This window comes from Homo sapiens, chromosome 12, assembly GCF_000001405.40.
Source record: "Homo sapiens chromosome 12, GRCh38.p14 Primary Assembly".
NCBI lineage: Eukaryota > Metazoa > Chordata > Mammalia > Primates > Hominidae > Homo > Homo sapiens.
In genome coordinates, this window is record NC_000012.12 from 8,383,709 (window position 1) to 8,401,260 (window position 17,552).

A 17,552-nucleotide genomic window follows, 5' to 3' on the forward strand; every position below is an offset into this window, starting at 1 on the left:
GAATGAAAAAGAAAAGAAAAAAGTTGAGTTCACAGAAGCAGAGTAGAATGATGGTTGCCAGGGTGGGGAAGTGGGCAGATGCCAAAGGACACAGAATGTCATTTTTAGAGAAGAAGAATAAGTTCAGGATATCCATGGGACAACATGGTACCTATAGTTAATAACAACATATCATACACTTGGAAATCACTAAGAGAGTAGATTTTTTAAGTGTTCTCACCATAAAAAAATAAGTCTGGGAGGTGATATGTTATTTAGCTTGATCTAGCCATTTTGTAATGTATACATACTTCAATCTCATCATGTTGTACCCTCTTGTACATAATTTTTGTCAATTCAATAAATTCAACAGCTCCAGAAAACAAGACATTCTTTTTAGAAAATAATTATTAAAAATAAAATTCAGAATTCTATTTTATTTATTTATTTATTTTTGAAACAGGGTCTCACTCTGTCACCCAGGCTGGCTGAAGTGCATTGGTGCGATCTCGGCTGACTGCAACCTCTGTCTCCCAGGTTCAAATGATTCTCCTGCCTCAGCCTCCCAAGCAGCTGTGATTACAGGTGTGTGCCATCACACCTGGCTAATTTCTGTATTTTCAGTAGAGACAGTTCCGCCATGTTGGCCAGGCTGGTCTCGAACTCCTGACCTTAGGTGATCCACCAGCCTCGACCTGCCAAAGTGCTGGGATTACAGGTGTGAGCCACTGTGCCTGGACAGAATATAAAAGATTGTTTAATTCAACTAAAACATTAAAACATAGATTATTTCTATAAGTGGTAATTGTTCTAACATGTTTTGGTCAAAATAGTCTCCTTACTCATCCACAATTAAATGGTTAATTGACATTTGATTGGATTTTGATAAAGTTTTCAAATCATGATTGACTTTTCCAATGTACAGTAAAATGTGTTTGAAAATATTTCATAAAAATTAATATTGAAAAATGGTCAGGCATGGTAGCTCATGCCTGTAATCCCAGCACTTTGGGAGGCCAAGGTGGGCCGATCACTTGAGGTCAGGAGTTTGAAAGCAGCCTGGCCAAACCTCATCTCCACTAAAAATACAAAAGTTAGTCGGGCATGGTGGCGCGCACCTGCATTCCCAGCTACTTGGGAGGCTGAGGGAGGAGAATCCTTTGAACCTGGGAGGTGGGTTCCCCAGGCTTAGAGCAAAACCGCCATCTTGTCCGTCTCCACTCTCATCCCAGGCAATCATGGTCATTTCCACAGCCTCAACCACTGTCTACCTGGGATGCGTCCCAAGCCCAAGTCTCCAGCCCAAACCTGCCTTCCTAGCCCCAGACCCATCTGTCCTGGCACACGTTGCTCCCTGGGTCCCAAGCAACCTCAGCCAATGAGTCCAACGTCAACTTCCTGTCCTTGCCTGACACTGTCAGCCCTGAGATCAGACTTGACCATTCACCTCCAGTACCTGATAGGTCCGTCAGTCCTTTGGAACATATCCCATGAACACTCCCCAAACCAGGCACCGGACTCCACACATCAACACCGTCATGTGAGTCACCAGCATCCCTGGCAGGGACCCCTGTCCCAGCCTTCAACTCATTTCCTTCCTGTCTCTTGAGTTCTGTGTCACATTCCAGAGGCCACAAGAAGAAAAATGATAACCTTAATGAAATTAAAAGAATTGAGAAGACATTTCCCTATGGTCCAAAGTCTTTCCAACTAAGAAACACGTATCAAGATCCGGCCTGCCAACCCTGTGGTTAAATGTTCCTGAAATAATTAAAGCCCAGGGCAACACAGCCCGCACTCCACAAGTACTCCCAGCACAGTAAGACTTGCTTTTCTGGAGGGGCTTGAAATGTCCAGTGTGTGCCCTGCCCCTCTCTGTCGTAGCTAACAGGAATGTGCTTCATGTCTTCTTCCTGCTCAAAGGACCATCCACCAACCTGTGCAGGCAGCACTTTCGGCCCGGGGGGGGATGCGAGAACTTCCCACCATTTCCCACTTACGCACTGCATTCCTCAGGAGCCTGCCTCACAAATTACAAGAGCGCCACGGCAGACACACGACGTTCCAGTGGGTGGCCATGTCTTCATGTCAGCTTGAAAGATCGTCACCAGGGAAATATCTATATCTCGGCAGAGAGAGCTTCAGCCTGTGTAGTCCAGCTGTGCTCAAATGGAAATCCAGAAACCCAGATGTTGGTCCAAACACCCTGTCTCAGACAGCCAGCTCTGCAGGTCCCCAGCATGGGAGTGAACTGGGTGGGCCACCTACCCTGCCTGCCCACATCCCTGCTTCCTGGAATCCTGGACCCTGAGAACCAGGGGGATGTGGTGGGGAACAGGCAAGTCTTGTACAGAAAGCCAACATGCCACCCAAATCCACTCTGCAGTCTAGGTGGGTGATATTCTGGTCTGCACCACACCAGTGCATGAGGGGATGGAGGATGGAGTCTAGACAAGCCAAATGTAAAAAGATATTGCCCAAGTATTTTGTGCTTTCCCTGTGTTACAATGCTATGCCCAGCCCAGCGTGGTGGCTCACACCTGTGATCTCAGCGCCTTGGGAGGCCGAGGCAGGCGGATCACCTTAGGTCAGGAGTTTGAGACCAGCCTGGCCAACATGGTGAAACCCCATCGCTACTAAAAATACAAAAATTAGCCAGGTGTAGTGGTGGGCACCTGTAATCCCACCTACTCGGGAGGCTGAGACACGAGAATCACTTGAGCCCAGGAGGTGGAGGTTGCAGTGAGCAGAGATCATGCCACTGCACTCCAGCTTGGGCAACAGAGTAAGACTCCATCTTTAAAAGACATAAAAATAAATAAGTGCTATGCCCAGCATTTTCCATGTACTGTCTTATTATCTCAGTAAATCCCATATAACCTTCCTATGAAAGTGTATCTCATTTATCTCCATTTTATAGATGAGAAAACTGAGGCCCCTGGAGTAGTATTAATTTTCCAAGACTGCATTGCTCATAAAGGGTACAGCAGGGACCCAAGCTTGACACTCTCACCCTCAAACATTTCCACAAGTGTAGACCAATGGCTCTCAACTGGGGTGGTTTTGCTCACGTACCACTCCCTTGCCCCACAGCATTTGAGACCATCTGGAGACATCTGGGGTAGCCACAGCTGGGAGGATAGAATGGCACCTAGAGGATGGAGACCAGGGATGGTGCTAGCCATCCTACAATACACAGGATGCCCCCACCACCACCATGAATGGTCTCACCCCAAGTGTTGTGACTGTGGCAAAGCTGAGAAACCAGGTTTCTCCTCAGCAAGAAGGAAAATCCCTGCAACGTGGATGCACCTCTACAGGAGCCCCAGGCTGACAACAACCTTCCTGATCTGGTTTCAACCCTGGATGCTTTTACCTGGTGTGTCCATCAGGGATTTCAGGGACTCCAGTGAGTTATTACCCTCGAATGCTCGGTTCTGCCTGACAACCCAGAAATCTCTGCCAAGATGCCTGGTCTTGGGGAAGGCTCAGCAAGTGGTTGAGGTTGATAACCAAGTACCTAGGAGACACTTTTCTCTCCCTCCAGGAGGAGCTGTGGGTCAGACACACCCTGGGATCATTCACAAGTGGTCAATAAAGGCTTGGGGAGGGCCAGGTTTTCTAGGCCTTCTCAATGGGGTGGGTGTTTGTGGATACACAAGAAGCCTGTGAAACTTCTGATATTGGCAGGAAATCAATACCCCCCACCCTCCACGCCCCCACATCCCCACCATAAACACATGCCCTGCAGCAGGACTTGGCACTCAGGGGCTCCTGAGATCCCGATTTACCTGCTAAAACATCCTCTAGCCATCACCGAATAAAGCAACCCCTTGCCACCCGACCACAAGATCACAGCCTGGGAGCCACTCCAAGGAACACCAAGTCACATTAAAACCTCAGCCATCCAGAGCACCAGGCCTGGTGATGAGAAAGAACATTTTATCCTTAAACGCATCTGAATGCCCATGCTGCTTCTTGCAGAGAAAAGTCCAAAATAATCTGCTATTAAAGAATGAGGATGGTTTTGACATTTTTACCAAGCTAATGGTCTACGCAGACAAAATCTCATAAAAGGGCCCTCTGTTCTTCTTGATCCACTCAGACATGACCTGTGAGTGAAGAAACGGATCTCCTCCTCAAAGAAATCACTGCTGATCCTCGTACCAGCCTGACACTGCTTCATGGGTTCTTCAAAGAGAGTATTCCCATAGAAACTAAAAAGGAAGAGGAATGTGTCTGACGGGCATTGTGGGCAGCAGTGGGCTTTGGGCCAAATTTTAAGTTTGAAAATCAAGATTCCCTCTTTTCGAGGGGCCGCCGGACTGAGCAGATACAGACACCGTGAAAAGAGGGTGCCATGTTCAGATTCAGGAAACAAGGATGGTTTCTGTTCAGTTCCTCCATCATCCTTCAGGTCATGCGATTCCCATTTCCCTCTGTGGACCAAACAATTCAGTGGGGTTTCTGCCTTTTAAATATTTCATTATCAACATATCATCCTTTTAGCCTCCAGAAGGCATTTTAACATGAAGATTCTGGCTTAAGACTCTTGTGGGTCTGTCTGTCTCTCTCTCTTTTCCTTGAAACAGAGTCTCACTTTGTCACCCAGGCTGGAGTGCAGTGGCATGATCACAGCTCACTGCAGCCCGACCTTCCAGGCTCTAGTAATCCTCCCACCTCAGCCTCCCAAGTACTTGGGACTACAGGCACACACCACCATACCTGGCTTTTTTTTTTTTTTTTTTTTTTTTTTTTTTTTTTTTTGGTAGATATGAGGCTTCGCCATGTTGCCCAGCTGGTCTTAAACTCCTGGGCTCAAGCGATCCTCCCCTTTCGGCCTCTCAAAGTGTTGGAATTATTGGCTTGAGCCACCATGCCCGGCCAGGAACCTTGTCTCTTGTGATGCACCCCAGAACAAAACATCACTGCAAAAACACACCAAGGCATGAGTTTTAGTCCTAAGTCCCATTTATCCACCATACACTATGTGCCAGGCACAACGCTAAGTGCTTCTATGGACGAGCATCCCTTAATCTCAGCAGTAACAACCCCAGGCAATGGGGCCTGTTGGCAAATCCATTTGCCACTGAAGACAGTAAGGCTCAGAGAGGGTAAGTGGCTTGTGCCATGTCAGCCAGCTAAGGAGGGGCAGAACCAGGATGCAAACCCCAGCCGCCTGGCTCCAGACTCGGGTTCCCAAGGTCCCACTACACTTGGTCACTCCACTGCATTGTGGTATCCTGGTCTTTGGCAGAGTCCACGTAAAAGAGGTAGGTAGAGGGAGTGAGAAGGACTTCATGCAATGAAGTTTCCCGGCGTTACACTGCCATTGTAATTGTGTCCCCGACCAGGACCTCTCCCTTCTCATCCTTTCCGTGATCGGCCCTGGAAAACCTTCCAAAGAACTGTCCTCCTTCTCCCGGGATCTCAGAGAAAATTCGCCTGAGTTCAGTGTCCAGGTGACCCAAGCTCTGAATGCGGTAACGTGCACGGGGAGATGAGGATGTCACCATGAGCAACCCCAAGACTGGGCAGGGGGGGCTCTGATGCAGCCCACGGCGAGGAGGGCTGCCCGTGCTGCCTAAATGGGTTCAGAATGAAGGCCGCCCTCTCGCCCATGTGGGGCTCATTAACCACGAATCCAATTATTAAGACAAGCTCAGCTGAGCAAATGGTCAAACATAAAAACATGTGGAAGGAACCAAGAGGTCAACCCCATTATCCATCAAAAACCATCAAGGTGGCGGACCTCACTGAGGGGTACAGCTCTCCAGTGGGCCCTCATCTGTCCTCCAAACCTATGTGCCTCCTCAGTGGAAGGCCAGCAAAACCACACAGGAAGAGTTGGCGTAGGAAAGCAGAAAGTGAACCCCAGGAGGCCAGGCTGGCCACGGAGCCCCATCCCACACTCACAGGCCCGCTGACTCAGGGGCTCACATGTGCAGGACACCGGGAGCTCACAGGGACAGTGCCCCGGGGGATGCAAGGAACTTTGCCTCTCTGTCCCTCTCTGTAGGGATGGAAAGAGGAGAGCGATTTCTGGGATGGAAGCCATCTGCCTCCTCTCAACTCTCGCTGCCCAACCAGAAAGGGAAGAAAAACAGGAAGATGCGGGACAGGTGAGGAGCTGGGTGAGCGCCGCCAGCCCGCAGCCCAGCAGAGCAGGGCTTGGCCAAGCCTGGCGCCAGGGACTTCCCCCCTACCCCCACCACAGGCCCCTCGCCAGGTGAGAGGCACCGGCAGAGTCCCAGACAGATGCCCCAGACAGGCGGCTCAGCGCAACCCCCGGCCCTTCCCCTGCTAGGGGCCCCCAGGACGCGGGGCTCCCCCTCCCCTTTTGGCTAGCTGCAGAGTCCAGCGCGTCTCCCGGCCAGGGACGTCGTGGGAGAATCAGGAAGTCGAAGCCACACAGCCGAGAAGGGGCAGCTGGCGTCTCGGAGGCCGACACGAGCTGTCACTCCGCGCCCGCCGGAGTTGCCGCTCAATTACCAACTTCAACCCAGGGCAGGCCACGGGGCCTCCCGCCGCCCCTACCCTGCGCCCCCGGCACCCCGGGACCCCCGCGCCCGCGTCACTTACTCCTCTGCCGTCGCCACCTGTCTGGGTGCCGGTCTCCTTCCTGGCCGACCGCGGCGCGTCCTGCCCGTCCTCGCAGTCCTGGGGCTGTGCGCTTCCCCCCTCCAGCAAGAGCCGCAGCCTCTTCTCTTCGGGAGGGACGTCGTCCTCCTCCCTCCTGGGCCGGCCATCCCTGCCTCGGGGCTTGCCAGGGGCTTCGGAGCTGCCGGAAGGGCTGGCCATGGCCCCGGGGGCTCTGCCTGCACCTGGGGAAGAGGAAGGACCCGGAGCGAGCGGCCTCTCGGCGGAGCTGGGGCGTCTGAGCGCGGGCTCGGTGGGTCCGCGCGGCGCGGAGCTGGGCATCGGGGCCGGCGCGGACTCCTCCGCGGGCCGCTCGTGGTCCTCTGGCGCCCTCTGCTGGCCGCTCGCGCGCACCGTGGACAGGTAGGGCCCTGGCCTGCGCTGCGCTCACCTGCCCCGGACCAAGCAGTCGCTGTCTCCTGCCTGTGGCCATGCCCGCTCTGACCAGGCCCTGCACCTCCTCCCCACCCCAGCCAGGTTGCACCCCGATGGACTCCCTGCCCAAGGAGGAGAGAAGAGAAGGGACGCCCCGAGAGGGTGGACATCGGCCACAGCCACCTTGTCTTTGCTCTTACCCTGTGTCTTCCATGATTTGGAGGTGGTAGGAAAACCGAGGCTGCTCAAAACTCGTGGAGAATTCCGCCTGCAGGATGACATGAATGCACCTTCCCATTGCCTACCAACAGATCTTTTCTGAGCATCACTGTGGACCAGGCGTGGTGATGGGGGAGGGGATATTGTGGTGAACATGACAGGCATTGCCTTCACCCAGTGGGGCTCAGCGCTGGGTGAGAAGGCATTGAGAATGGACATTGTCAATTGGGCCAAAGGAGGCCAAGGAGAAGTGCTGGGTGCATGGGAACTAAAAAAGACAGGAGGCTCAGCAGGTCTTGGAGCTGGGAGAGGGACAGCAGCAGCGGCTGTTCCAAAGGAAGCAACAGCTGAGAGAAGTCTCAGAGGTTGTTCTCAGCCCAGTGGAGGGTGTTCAGGCAGAGGGAACAGCGTGTGCAAAAGCCCAGAGGCTGGGAAAGAAGCAGAAAGAGGACGGTGGGGCTGGAGCGTGGTGTGCAAGGTGAGAGAGGTGTGGTGGGTGGACAGATGGCCTTGGACCCAGCCGTGCAGGGGCAGAGGAGATAGGGAATCCTTGCAGGCCCCCAGCCGGGGCTGAGGCACAGAGACAATGCAGGTGGGCAAAGGGAGGAGACGTGGAGAAATATTTTGGAGGCATGCCCTGATGAATGAGCCCAGGATGCACCCTTAGTGTCAGTGTGGAGCTCCTTCCTTGGCTGTGTGATGAGCTGAACTCGGGGGTATTTTCTGGACATGGAGGTGCTACACCCAGAGTCCAGGACAGGCTAAGTGAGCACCAGCAGCTCCTGGCCCACCTCAAAAGCAGGAGAGACAGGGGAGACTGGGGAGGCCGGGGTAGAAGGGGAAGCCAGGAAGGCAGGAGAGGCCACAGAAACAGAGGAGGCCAGGGAGGCAGAGGAGGCAGGAGAGGCTGGGGAGGCTGTGTCCTTTCCATGATTCTGCCCAGGATCCTAGGCCCCTGTACTCCCTGAGCTTCCCCACCCCAAGTGCTGGAACCATGTTGCACAATGGTCTCCCCACTAAGCTCCTGATGGCAGCCCCTACCCTGCTGTGCTCCCTATTTCAACCCTAACAGCTCTCACAGTGGGCAGCACAGAGTAGGTGCTCAGGAAACACTGGTGGCAGAGCACATGGGTCTGCTCAGCACCTTCCTCCCTCCTCCAGCTCTCCCTATCATGAAATAATTCTGATAACGACACATGGACTTTGAGACCCTCTTCTATTACTTTCCATATGCTAATCCATCTATACCCCACAGCAGCCCTGAGGGTGGGTGCTATTACGATGCCCATTTTAAAGAGGAAGAGACTGAGATATAAAGAGGATAACTGACATAGGCACACTACAGGGGCTGGGACCAAGTGATCAGAGCACTCAGTCCCCAAAGGCAAGGTGGATGCAGTTACCATAAAAGACAGCAGAGTCAAAGCTGCAACCAGAATAGCCTGACTCGCAGAGACCTATGGTGCCAGCTGATCGTGGCATTCCTAGAAGTGAAATAGATAAGAAGCCTGCCACATTTTTACTGGATCTGTGTTTGCAGAAGGGTTCTAGGTCAGGTGAGCAGAAGTCTAATCTGAATCCTAAAAACAGAGTCACAGTCCCCAGTCAATTTCCAGACATAAGCCAGTTCACAGACCCGGAGTCCCTTGTCTGAATGGGAAGCCAGGTCCCCTCTAGAAAGGACTCTGCTCCACTGCCAAACATTTATACTGTCAATCTTTCTCCCAGCCTGCCCCCAAAGGAATACCCAGCCTTTCACCAGGATGACTGAACAGGAGAAAAGGAACTAGAGACTTGTGCAGGATCACTGGACACAGGCTCTGAACTGGCACTAGGGTGAGACTAGGGCCTACCAGTCAGAATAGGCATTTTGGAGGTCAGGTGAATGTTGGTGCAAGTTCATGTCATGGTAGATCCATTGGGTCCCCAAATCCATCCTCTGGTTATATACAAAGCGGCAATGCTGAGATTCAAATTCAGGGCATCCAGCATAGAGGCTGTGCTCTTACTCGTGAAACATTCTGACACTAGTAACCAATATAAAAATGCAAACACGTCCTGGGGCTAGCGAGAGTCCTCCAAACAGTCATGTAAATTGGTTCTGTCAAGGATTTCCTCCCATCCCCTGCTGAGAGCCAGTTGCAAGGAGAGACTAGGGAAGGGCATTGGGTAACTTTGTTGCTAAAAGCTCTTCTGGATAAAGACATTTGGGAAAAGAAGCAAATAGAGTTCAGCAGAAGATGTAAGAAAGTAAGTTTATGTTTGGCCAGGCACGGTGGCTCACGCCTGTAATCCCAGCACTTGGGAAGGCCGAGGCGGGCAGATCACGAGGTCAAGAGATCGGAGTATCCTGGCCAACATGGTGAAGACCCGTCTCTACTAAAAATTCAAAAATTAGATGGGCATGATGGCGCACGCCTGTAGTCCCAGTTACTCAGGAGCCTGAGGCAGGAGAATCACTTGAGCCCAGGAGGTGGAGGTTGCAGTGAGCGGAGAACATGCCACTGCACTCCAGCTTGGGCAACAGAGTAAGACTCTGTCTTAAAAAAAAATAAAAATAAATAAATGCTATGCCCAGTATTTTCCATGTACTGTCTTATTATCTCAGTAAATCCCATATAACCTTCCTATGAAAGTGTATCTCATTTATCTCCATTTTATAGATGAGAAAACTGAGGCCCCTGGAGTAGTATTAATTTTCCAAGACCTCATTGCTCATAAAGGGTACAGCAGGGACCCAAGCTCGACACTCTCACCCTCAAACATTCCCACAAGTGTAGACCAATGGCTCTCAACTGGGTTGGTTTTGCTCACGTACCACTCCCTTGCCCCACGGCATTTGAAACCAACTGGAGACATCTGGGGTAGCCATAGCTGGGAGGGTAGAATGGCACCTAGAGGATGGAGACCAGAGATTCTGCTAACCATCCTACAATACACAGGACGGCCCCCCACCACCACCATGAATGGTCTCACCCCAAGTGTTGTGACTGTGGCAAAGCTGAGAAACCAGGTTTCTCCTCAGCAAGAAGGAAAATCCCTGCAACGTGGATGCGCCTCTACAGGAGCCCCAGGCTGACAACAACCTTCCTGATCTGGTTTCAACCCTGGATGCTTTTACCTGGTGCGTCCATCAGGGATTTCAGGGACTCCAGTGAGTTATTACCCTCGAATGCTCGGTTCTGCCTGACAACCCAGAAATCTCTGCCAAGATGCCTGGTGGTCTTGGGGAAGGCTCAGCAAGTGGTTGAGGTTGATAACCAAGTACCTAGGAGACACTTTTCTCTCCCTCCAGGAGGAGCTGTGGGTCAGACACACCCTGGGATCATTCACAAGTGGTCAATAAAGGCTTGGGGAGGGCCAGGTTTTCTAGGCCTTCTCAATGGGGTGGGTGTTTGTGGATACACAAGAAGCCTGTGAAACTTCTGATATTGGCAGGAAATCAATACCCCCCACCCTCCACGCCCCCACATCCCCTCCATAAACACATGCCCTGCAGCAGGACTTGGCACTCAGGGGCTCCTGGGGTCCCGATTTATCTGCTAAGACATCCTCTAGCCATCACGGAATAAAGCAACCCCTTGCCACCCGACCACAAGATCACAGCCTGGGAGCCACTCCAAGGGACATCCAGTCACATTAAAACCTCAGCCATCCAGAGCACCAGGCCTGGTGATGAGAAAGATCATTTTATCCTTAAACGCATCTGAATGCCCATGCTGCTTCTGGCAGAGAAAAGTCCAAAATAATCTGCTATTAAAGAATGAGGATGGTTTTGACATTTTTACCAAGCTAATGGTCTACGCAGACAAAATCTCATAAAAGGGCCCTCTGTTCTTCTTGATCCACTCAGACATGACCTGTGAGTGAAGAAACGGATCTCCTCCTCAAAGAAATCACTGCTGATCCTCGTACCAGCCTGACACTGCTTCATGGGTTCTTCAAAGAGAGTATTCCCATAGAAACTAAAAAGGAAGAGGAATGTGTCTGACGGGCATTGTGGGCAGCAGTGGGCTTTGGGCCAAATTTTAAGTTTGAAAATCAAGATTCCCTCTTTTCGAGGGGCCGCCGGACTGAGCAGATACAGACACCGTGAAAAGAGGGTGCCATGTTCAGATTCAGGAAACAAGGATGGTTTCTGTTCAGTTCCTCCATCATCCTTCAGGTCATGCGATTCCCATTTCCCTCTGTGGACCAAACAATTCAGTGGGGTTTCTGCCTTTTAAATATTTCATTATCAACATATCATCCTTTTAGCCTCCAGAAGGCATTTTAACATGAAGATTCTGGCTTAAGACTCTTGTGGGTCTGTCTGTCTCTCTCTCTTTTCCTTGAAACAGAGTCTCACTTTGTCACCCAGGCTGGAGTGCAGTGGCATGATCACAGCTCACTGCAGCCCGACCTTCCAGGCTCTAGTAATCCTCCCACCTCAGCCTCCCAAGTACTTGGGACTACAGGCACACACCACCATACCTGGCTTTTTTTTTTTTTTTTTTTTTTTTTTTTTTTTTTTTTTTTTTGGTAGATATGAGGCTTCGCCATGTTGCCCAGGCTGGTCTTAAACTCCTGGGCTCAAGCGATCGTCCCCCTTCGGCCTCTCAAAGTGCTGGGATTATTGGCTTGAGCCACCATGCCCGGCCAGGAACCTTGTCTCTTGTGATGCACCCCAGAACAAAACATCACTGCAAAAACACACCAAGGCATGAGTTTTAGTCCTAAGTCCCATTTATCCACCATACACTATGTGCCAGGCACAACGCTAAGTGCTTCTATGGACGAGCATCCCTTAATCTCAGCAGTAACAACCCCAGGCAATGGGGCCCGTTGACAGATCCATTTGCCACTGAAGACAGTAAGGCTCAGAGAGGGTAAGTGGCTTGTGCCATGTCAGCCAGCTAAGGAGGGGCAGAACCAGGATGCAAACCCCAGCCGCCTGGCTCCAGACTCGCGTTCCCAAGATCCCACTACACTTGGTCACTCCACTGCATTCTGGTATCCTGGTCTTTGGCAGAGTCCACGTAAAAGAAGGAGGTAGAGGGAGTGAGAAGGACTTCACGCAATAAAGTTTCCTGGTGTTACACTGCCACTGTAATTGTGTCCCCGACCAGGACCTCTCCCTTCTCATCCTTTCCGTGATCGGCCCTGCAAAACCTTCCAAAGAACTGTCCTCCTTCTCCCGGGATCTCAGAGAAAATTCGCCTGAGTTCAGTGTCCAGGTGACCCAAGCTCCGAATGCGGTAACGTGCACGGGGAGATGAGGATGTCACCATGACCAAGCCTCCCAGACAGCATCCGGGAGCAACCCCAAGACTGGGCAGGGGGGGCTCTGATGCAGCCCACGGCGAGGAGGGCTGCCCGTGCTGCCTAAATGGGTTCAGAATGAAGGCCGCCCTCCCAACTTCAACCCGGGGCAGGCCACGGAGCCTCTCGCCGCCCCTACCCCTCGTTCCCCGCATCCCCGCGCACCCGGCACCCCCGGACCCCCGCGCCCGCGTCACTTACTCCTCTGCCGTCGCCACCTGTCTGGGTGCCGGTCTCCACCCTGCCCGGCCGCGGCGCGTCCTCCCCGTCCTCGCCGTCCTGGGGCTGTGCGCTTCCCCCCTCCAGCAAGAGCCGCAGCCTCTTCTCTTCGGGAGGGACGTCGTCCTCCTCCCTCCTGGGCCGGCCATCCCTGCCTCGGGGCTTGCCAGTGGCTTCGGAGCTGCGGGAAGGGCTGGCCATGGCTCCGGGGGCTCTGCCTACACTTGCGGAAGAAGAAGGAGCCTGCGCAAGCGGCCTCTCGGCGGAGCTGGGGCGTCTGAGCGCGGGCTCGGTGGGTCCGCGCGGCGCGGAGCTGGGCATCGGGGCGGCGCGGGCTCCTCCGCGGGCCGCTCGTGGTCCTCTGGCGCCCTCTGCTGGCCGCTCACGCGCACCGCCACCACGCCGGGCCCGGGCCTGCGCCGCTCTCACCCGTCCTGGCCCAGGAGGTCGCTGTCCCTTGCCCGTGGCCAGGCCCGCTCTGGCCAGGCCCTGCACCTCCTCGCCACCCCAGCCAGGTTGCACCCCGATGGTCTCCCTGCTCAAGGAGGAGGAAGAGAAGGGACGCCCCGAGAGGGTGGACATTGGCCACAGCCACCTTGTCTTTGCTCTTACCCTGTGTCTTCCATGATTTGGAGGTGGTGGGAAAACCGAGGCTGCTCAAAACTCGTGGAGAATTCCGCCTGCAGGATGACATGAATGCACCTTCGCATTGCCTACCAACAGATCTTTTCTGAGCATCACTGTGGACCAGGCGTGGTGATGGGGGAGGGGATATTGTGGTGAACATGACAGGCATTGCCTTCACCCAGTGGGGCTCAGCACTGGGTGAGAAGGCATTGAGAATGGACATTGTCAATTGGGCCAAAGGAGGCCAAGGAGAAGTGCTGGGTGCATGGGAACTAAAAAAGACAGGAGGCTCAGCAGGTCTTGGAGCTGGGAGAGGGACAGCAGCAGCGGCTGTTCCAAAGGAAGCAACAGCTGAGAGAGGTCTCAGAGAGTTGTTCTCAGCCCAGTGGAGGGTGTTCAGGCAGAGGGAACAGCGTGTGCAAAAGCCCAGAGGCTGGGAAAGAAGCAGAAAGAGGACGGTGGGGCTGGAGCGTGGTGGGCAAGGTGAGAGAGGTGTGGTGGGTGGACAGATGGCCTTGGACCCAGCCGTGCAGGGGCAGAGGAGATAGGGGATCCTTGCAGGCCCCCAGCCGGGGCTGAGGCACAGAGACAATGCAGGTGGGCAAAGGGAGGAGACGTGGAGAAATATTTTGGAGGCATGCCCTGATGAAGGAGCCCAGGATGCACCCTTAGTGTCAGTGTGGAGCTCCTTCCTTGGCTGTGTGATGAGCTGAACTCGGGGGTATTTTCTGGACATGGAGGTGCTACACCCAGAGTCCAGGACAGGCTAAGTGAGCACCAGCAGCTCCTGGCCCACCTCAAAAGCAGGAGAGACAGGGGAGACTGGGGAGGCCGGGGTGGAAGGGGAAGCCAGGAAGGCAGGAGAGGCCACAGAAGCAGAGGAGGCCAGGGAGGCAGAGGAGGCAGGAGAGGCTGGGGAGGCTGTGTCCTTCCCCAGATTCTGCCCAGGATCCTAGGCCCCTGAGCTTCTCCACCCCAAGAGCTGGAACCATGTTGCACAATGGTCTCCCCAACTAAGCTCCTGATGGCAGCCCCTACCCTGCTGTGCTCTCTATTTCAACCCTAACAGCTCTCACAGTGGGCAGCACACAGTAGGTGCTCAGGAAACACTGGTGGCAGAGCACATGGGTCTGCTCAGCACCTTCCTCCCTCCTCCAGCTCTCCCTATCATGAAATAATTCTGATAACGACACATGGACTTTGAGATGCTCTTCTATTACTTTCCATATGCTAATCCATCTATACCCCACAGCAGCCCTGAGGGTGGGTGCTATTAGGATGCCCATTTTATAGAGGAGGAAACTGAGGTATAAAGAGGGTAAGTGACATAGGCACACTACAGAGGCTGGGACCAAGTGATCAGAGCACTCAGTCCCCAAAGGCAAGGTGGATGCAGTTATCATTAAAAGACAGCAGAGTCAAAGCTGCAACCAGAATAGCCTGACTCGCAGAGACCTATGGTGCCAGCTGATCGTGGCATTCCTAGAAGTGAAATAGATAAGAAGCCTGCCACATTTTTACTGGATCTGTGTTTGCAGAAGAGTTCTAGGTCAGGTGAGCAGAAGTCTAATCTGAATCCTAAAAACAGAGTCACAGTCCCCAGTCAATTCCCAGATATAAGCCAGTTCACAGACCCAGAGTCCCTTGTCTGAATGGGAAGCCAGGTCCCCTCCAGAAAGGACTCTGCTCCACTGCCACAAATTAATACTGTCAATCTTTCTCCCAGCCTGCCCCCAAGGGAATACACAGCCTTTTACCAGGATGACTGAATAGGAGAAAAGGAACTAATGAGACCAGTGCAGGATCACTGGACACAGGCTCTGAACTGGCACTAGGGCGAGACTAGGATCTACCAGACAGAATAGGCATTTTGGTGGTCAGGTGAATGTTGGTGCAAGTTCATGTCATGGTAGATCCATTGGGTCCCCAAATCCATCCTCTGGTTATATACAAAATGGCCATGTTGAGATTTAAATTCATGGTATCCAACTTAGAGGCTGTGCTCTTACTCATGAAACATTCTGACACTAGTAACCAATTTAAAAATGCAAACACCTCCTGGGGCTAGCGAGAGTCCTCCAAACAGTCATGTAAATTGGTTCTGTCAAGGATTTCCTCCTACCCACCACCCCTCCCCACCCCCATCCGCTGAGAGCCAGTTGCAAGGAGAGACTAGGGAAGGGCATTGGGTAACTTTGTTGCTAAAAGCTCTTCTGGATAAAGAAGAGCTTTATCCAGGAAAAAGAAGCAAAATAGAGTTCAGCAGAAGTTGAGAAAAGAAGCAAATAGAGTTCAGGAGAAGGGGTAAGAAAGTAAGTTTATGTTTGACCAGGCACGGTGGCTCACGCCTGTAATCATAGCACTTTGGGAAGCCAAGGCGGGCAGATCACGAGGTCAAGAGATCGCACCATCCTGGCCAACATGGTGAAGCCCCGTCTGTACTAAAAATTCAAAAATTAGCTGGCCATGATGGCACACGCCTGTAGTCCTAGCTTCTCGGGAGCCTGAGTCAGGAGAATCACTTGAACGCAGGAGGCAGAGGTTGCAGTGGGCCGAGATCATGCCACTGCATTCCAACCCGGTGACAGAACAAGACTCCATCTCATAAAACAAAACAAAACAAACAAAAAAAAGTAAGCTTATTTTTAAGCCTGAACAAGTGTAGTGGTTTAGGGGTTCTGCAAACATGGCCCCAATCAGGCTACAAGATGTTGTGGCAGCAATATTTACAGCCAGTCACTCCTGGCCAGCTGAGCCACTTTTCAAAACATGCTTGCACAGCTGTGCAGAGCGGCTGGCTCCACTGGCAGCCGGCAGAGCCATAACTCACACTGTCACCAATGCCCTCAAACCCCTTCGGTAAGCACTTTGTTTTTTTGAGACGGAGTCTTGCTCTGTCATCCAGGCTGGAGTGCAGTGGCACAATCTCGGCTCACTGCAAGCCCCGCCTCCTGGGTTCACGCCATTCTCCTTCCTCAGCCTCCCAAGTAGCTGGGACTACGGGCGCCCGCCACCATGCCCGGCTAATTTTTTTTGTATTTTTAGTAGAGACGGGGTTTCACCGTGTTAGCCAGGATGGTCTCAATCTCCTGACCTTGTGATCCGCCTGCCTCGGCCTCCCAAAGTGCTGGGATTAGAGGCGTGAGTCACCGCGCCCGGCCTGGTAAGCACTTTTAATCAATGCAACAGGAATAAACATTTGCTGCAGAGCGGCAATGTGCAGGGAGGAACATGCTTCCACTCAGGCTCAGAAAGCAAAACCTCCTGGCTGTTTGCATCTATGCAAGAGCTCGCAGGAAAAGCCCTCTGTGTGGCTGCCAGCCTCACACACTCCCCCCAAGGGGTGAGTTTCTCTTTTCATGTTAATCTATGCTCTGACGTGCCATCTGTCAACCACCACACCATTCTCAGTTGCCATTTCAAAGCATCTTTGCCCTGTGAATGGTCACCAGCCCTGCCTTGCAAGCCCCCAGTTCACATTGAACTTAAATGAGAGAGAAAGCAGGTTTCGGGGTGGATTTCAGTTCAGCATCTTCGAGTCTCTGTGTGGACATGAAATCTGTCTCTCCAGCTGTGGGCTGCATCTTTGTTTGTCATCTGGTTTGGTTCTTGGGGACTTGGAAACTCGTGGGCACCTTTGCAATTTGTCAAGAAGCTGCATGGCCCTTCCAACAAAAGCAAGGAGTAGGAACAGAAGCCCAAGGCTTCAGATCAAGGTGCAATTTAAAGCAGCCTCAGTGTAAAAGCAAACAAGATTCAGAGGGATGCCTAAGGCAGAGTCTAGTCCCCAGGGCAGCAATAAGGCAAAGAGAAAGAGAGAGAGAGAGACAGAGACAGAAAGACAGAGAGAGATGGGAGGAGACATGAGGCACCCAGGCGTCTGCATCAAAATCCCTACAAGAGGGGCCTCCTCAAAATGCAGGAGGCTGAGGTGGGTGCACACAGAAGTTCAAGACTAGCCTGGGCAACATAGCAAGACCGTGTCTTTACAAAAAATACAAAAATTAGCCGGGTGTGGTGGTGTATGTCTGTGGTCCCAGTTACCCAGGAGGCTGAGGTGGGAGGATGGCTTGAGCCCAGGAGGTAGAGCTGCAGCGAGCTGAGATAGCACCACTGCACTCCAGCCTGGGCAACAGAGTGAGACTTCATCTCAAAAAAAAGTTAAAAAAAATTTTAAAAAGGATCACCCTGGC

The 17,552-nt window shown here is 52.6% G+C and overlaps 1 long non-coding RNA gene across 1 annotated transcript in view, besides 8 other annotated features; it reads right to left on the reverse strand.

The window, feature by feature from the left end:
• LINC00937 (long intergenic non-protein coding RNA 937) overlaps window positions 1–7,044 on the reverse strand; it is a 33,790-nt gene extending 26,746 nt beyond the window's left edge. Inside the window, exon 1 of the long non-coding RNA NR_024420.1 lies at window positions 6,562–7,044. This is a non-coding gene — a long non-coding RNA (long intergenic non-protein coding RNA 937). The remainder of the gene's footprint in view (window positions 1–6,561) is intronic.
• Window positions 6,835–6,884: a silencer, noted in NCBI's record as "silent region_4214". NCBI's record gives its function as "represses an Ori minimal core promoter by ATAC-STARR-seq in GM12878 lymphoblastoid cells {active_cell/tissue: GM12878}" and the evidence as "EXISTENCE:reporter gene assay evidence [ECO:0000049][PMID:35858748]".
• Window positions 6,835–7,139: a biological region, named in NCBI's record as "Sharpr-MPRA regulatory region 11326".
• Window positions 6,845–7,139: a silencer, noted in NCBI's record as "tiled region #11326; K562 Repressive non-DNase unmatched - State 13:Ctcf". NCBI's record gives its function as "represses a minimal TATA promoter and a strong SV40 promoter by Sharpr-MPRA in K562 cells {active_cell/tissue: K562}" and the evidence as "EXISTENCE:reporter gene assay evidence [ECO:0000049][PMID:27701403]".
• Window positions 6,985–7,034: a silencer, noted in NCBI's record as "silent region_4215". NCBI's record gives its function as "represses an Ori minimal core promoter by ATAC-STARR-seq in GM12878 lymphoblastoid cells {active_cell/tissue: GM12878}" and the evidence as "EXISTENCE:reporter gene assay evidence [ECO:0000049][PMID:35858748]".
• Window positions 12,803–13,062: an enhancer, noted in NCBI's record as "active region_5933". NCBI's record gives its function as "activates an Ori minimal core promoter by ATAC-STARR-seq in GM12878 lymphoblastoid cells {active_cell/tissue: GM12878}" and the evidence as "EXISTENCE:reporter gene assay evidence [ECO:0000049][PMID:35858748]".
• Window positions 13,183–13,232: an enhancer, noted in NCBI's record as "active region_5934". NCBI's record gives its function as "activates an Ori minimal core promoter by ATAC-STARR-seq in GM12878 lymphoblastoid cells {active_cell/tissue: GM12878}" and the evidence as "EXISTENCE:reporter gene assay evidence [ECO:0000049][PMID:35858748]".
• Window positions 13,525–14,026: an enhancer, noted in NCBI's record as "H3K4me1 hESC enhancer chr12:8549829-8550330 (GRCh37/hg19 assembly coordinates)". NCBI's record gives its function as "activates a minimal SCP1, AML or CMV promoter by ChIP-STARR-seq in naive H9 embryonic stem cells {active_cell/tissue: H9 hESC(naive)}" and the evidence as "EXISTENCE:reporter gene assay evidence [ECO:0000049][PMID:30033119]".
• Window positions 14,027–14,526: an enhancer, noted in NCBI's record as "H3K4me1 hESC enhancer chr12:8550331-8550830 (GRCh37/hg19 assembly coordinates)". NCBI's record gives its function as "activates a minimal SCP1, AML or CMV promoter by ChIP-STARR-seq in naive H9 embryonic stem cells {active_cell/tissue: H9 hESC(naive)}" and the evidence as "EXISTENCE:reporter gene assay evidence [ECO:0000049][PMID:30033119]".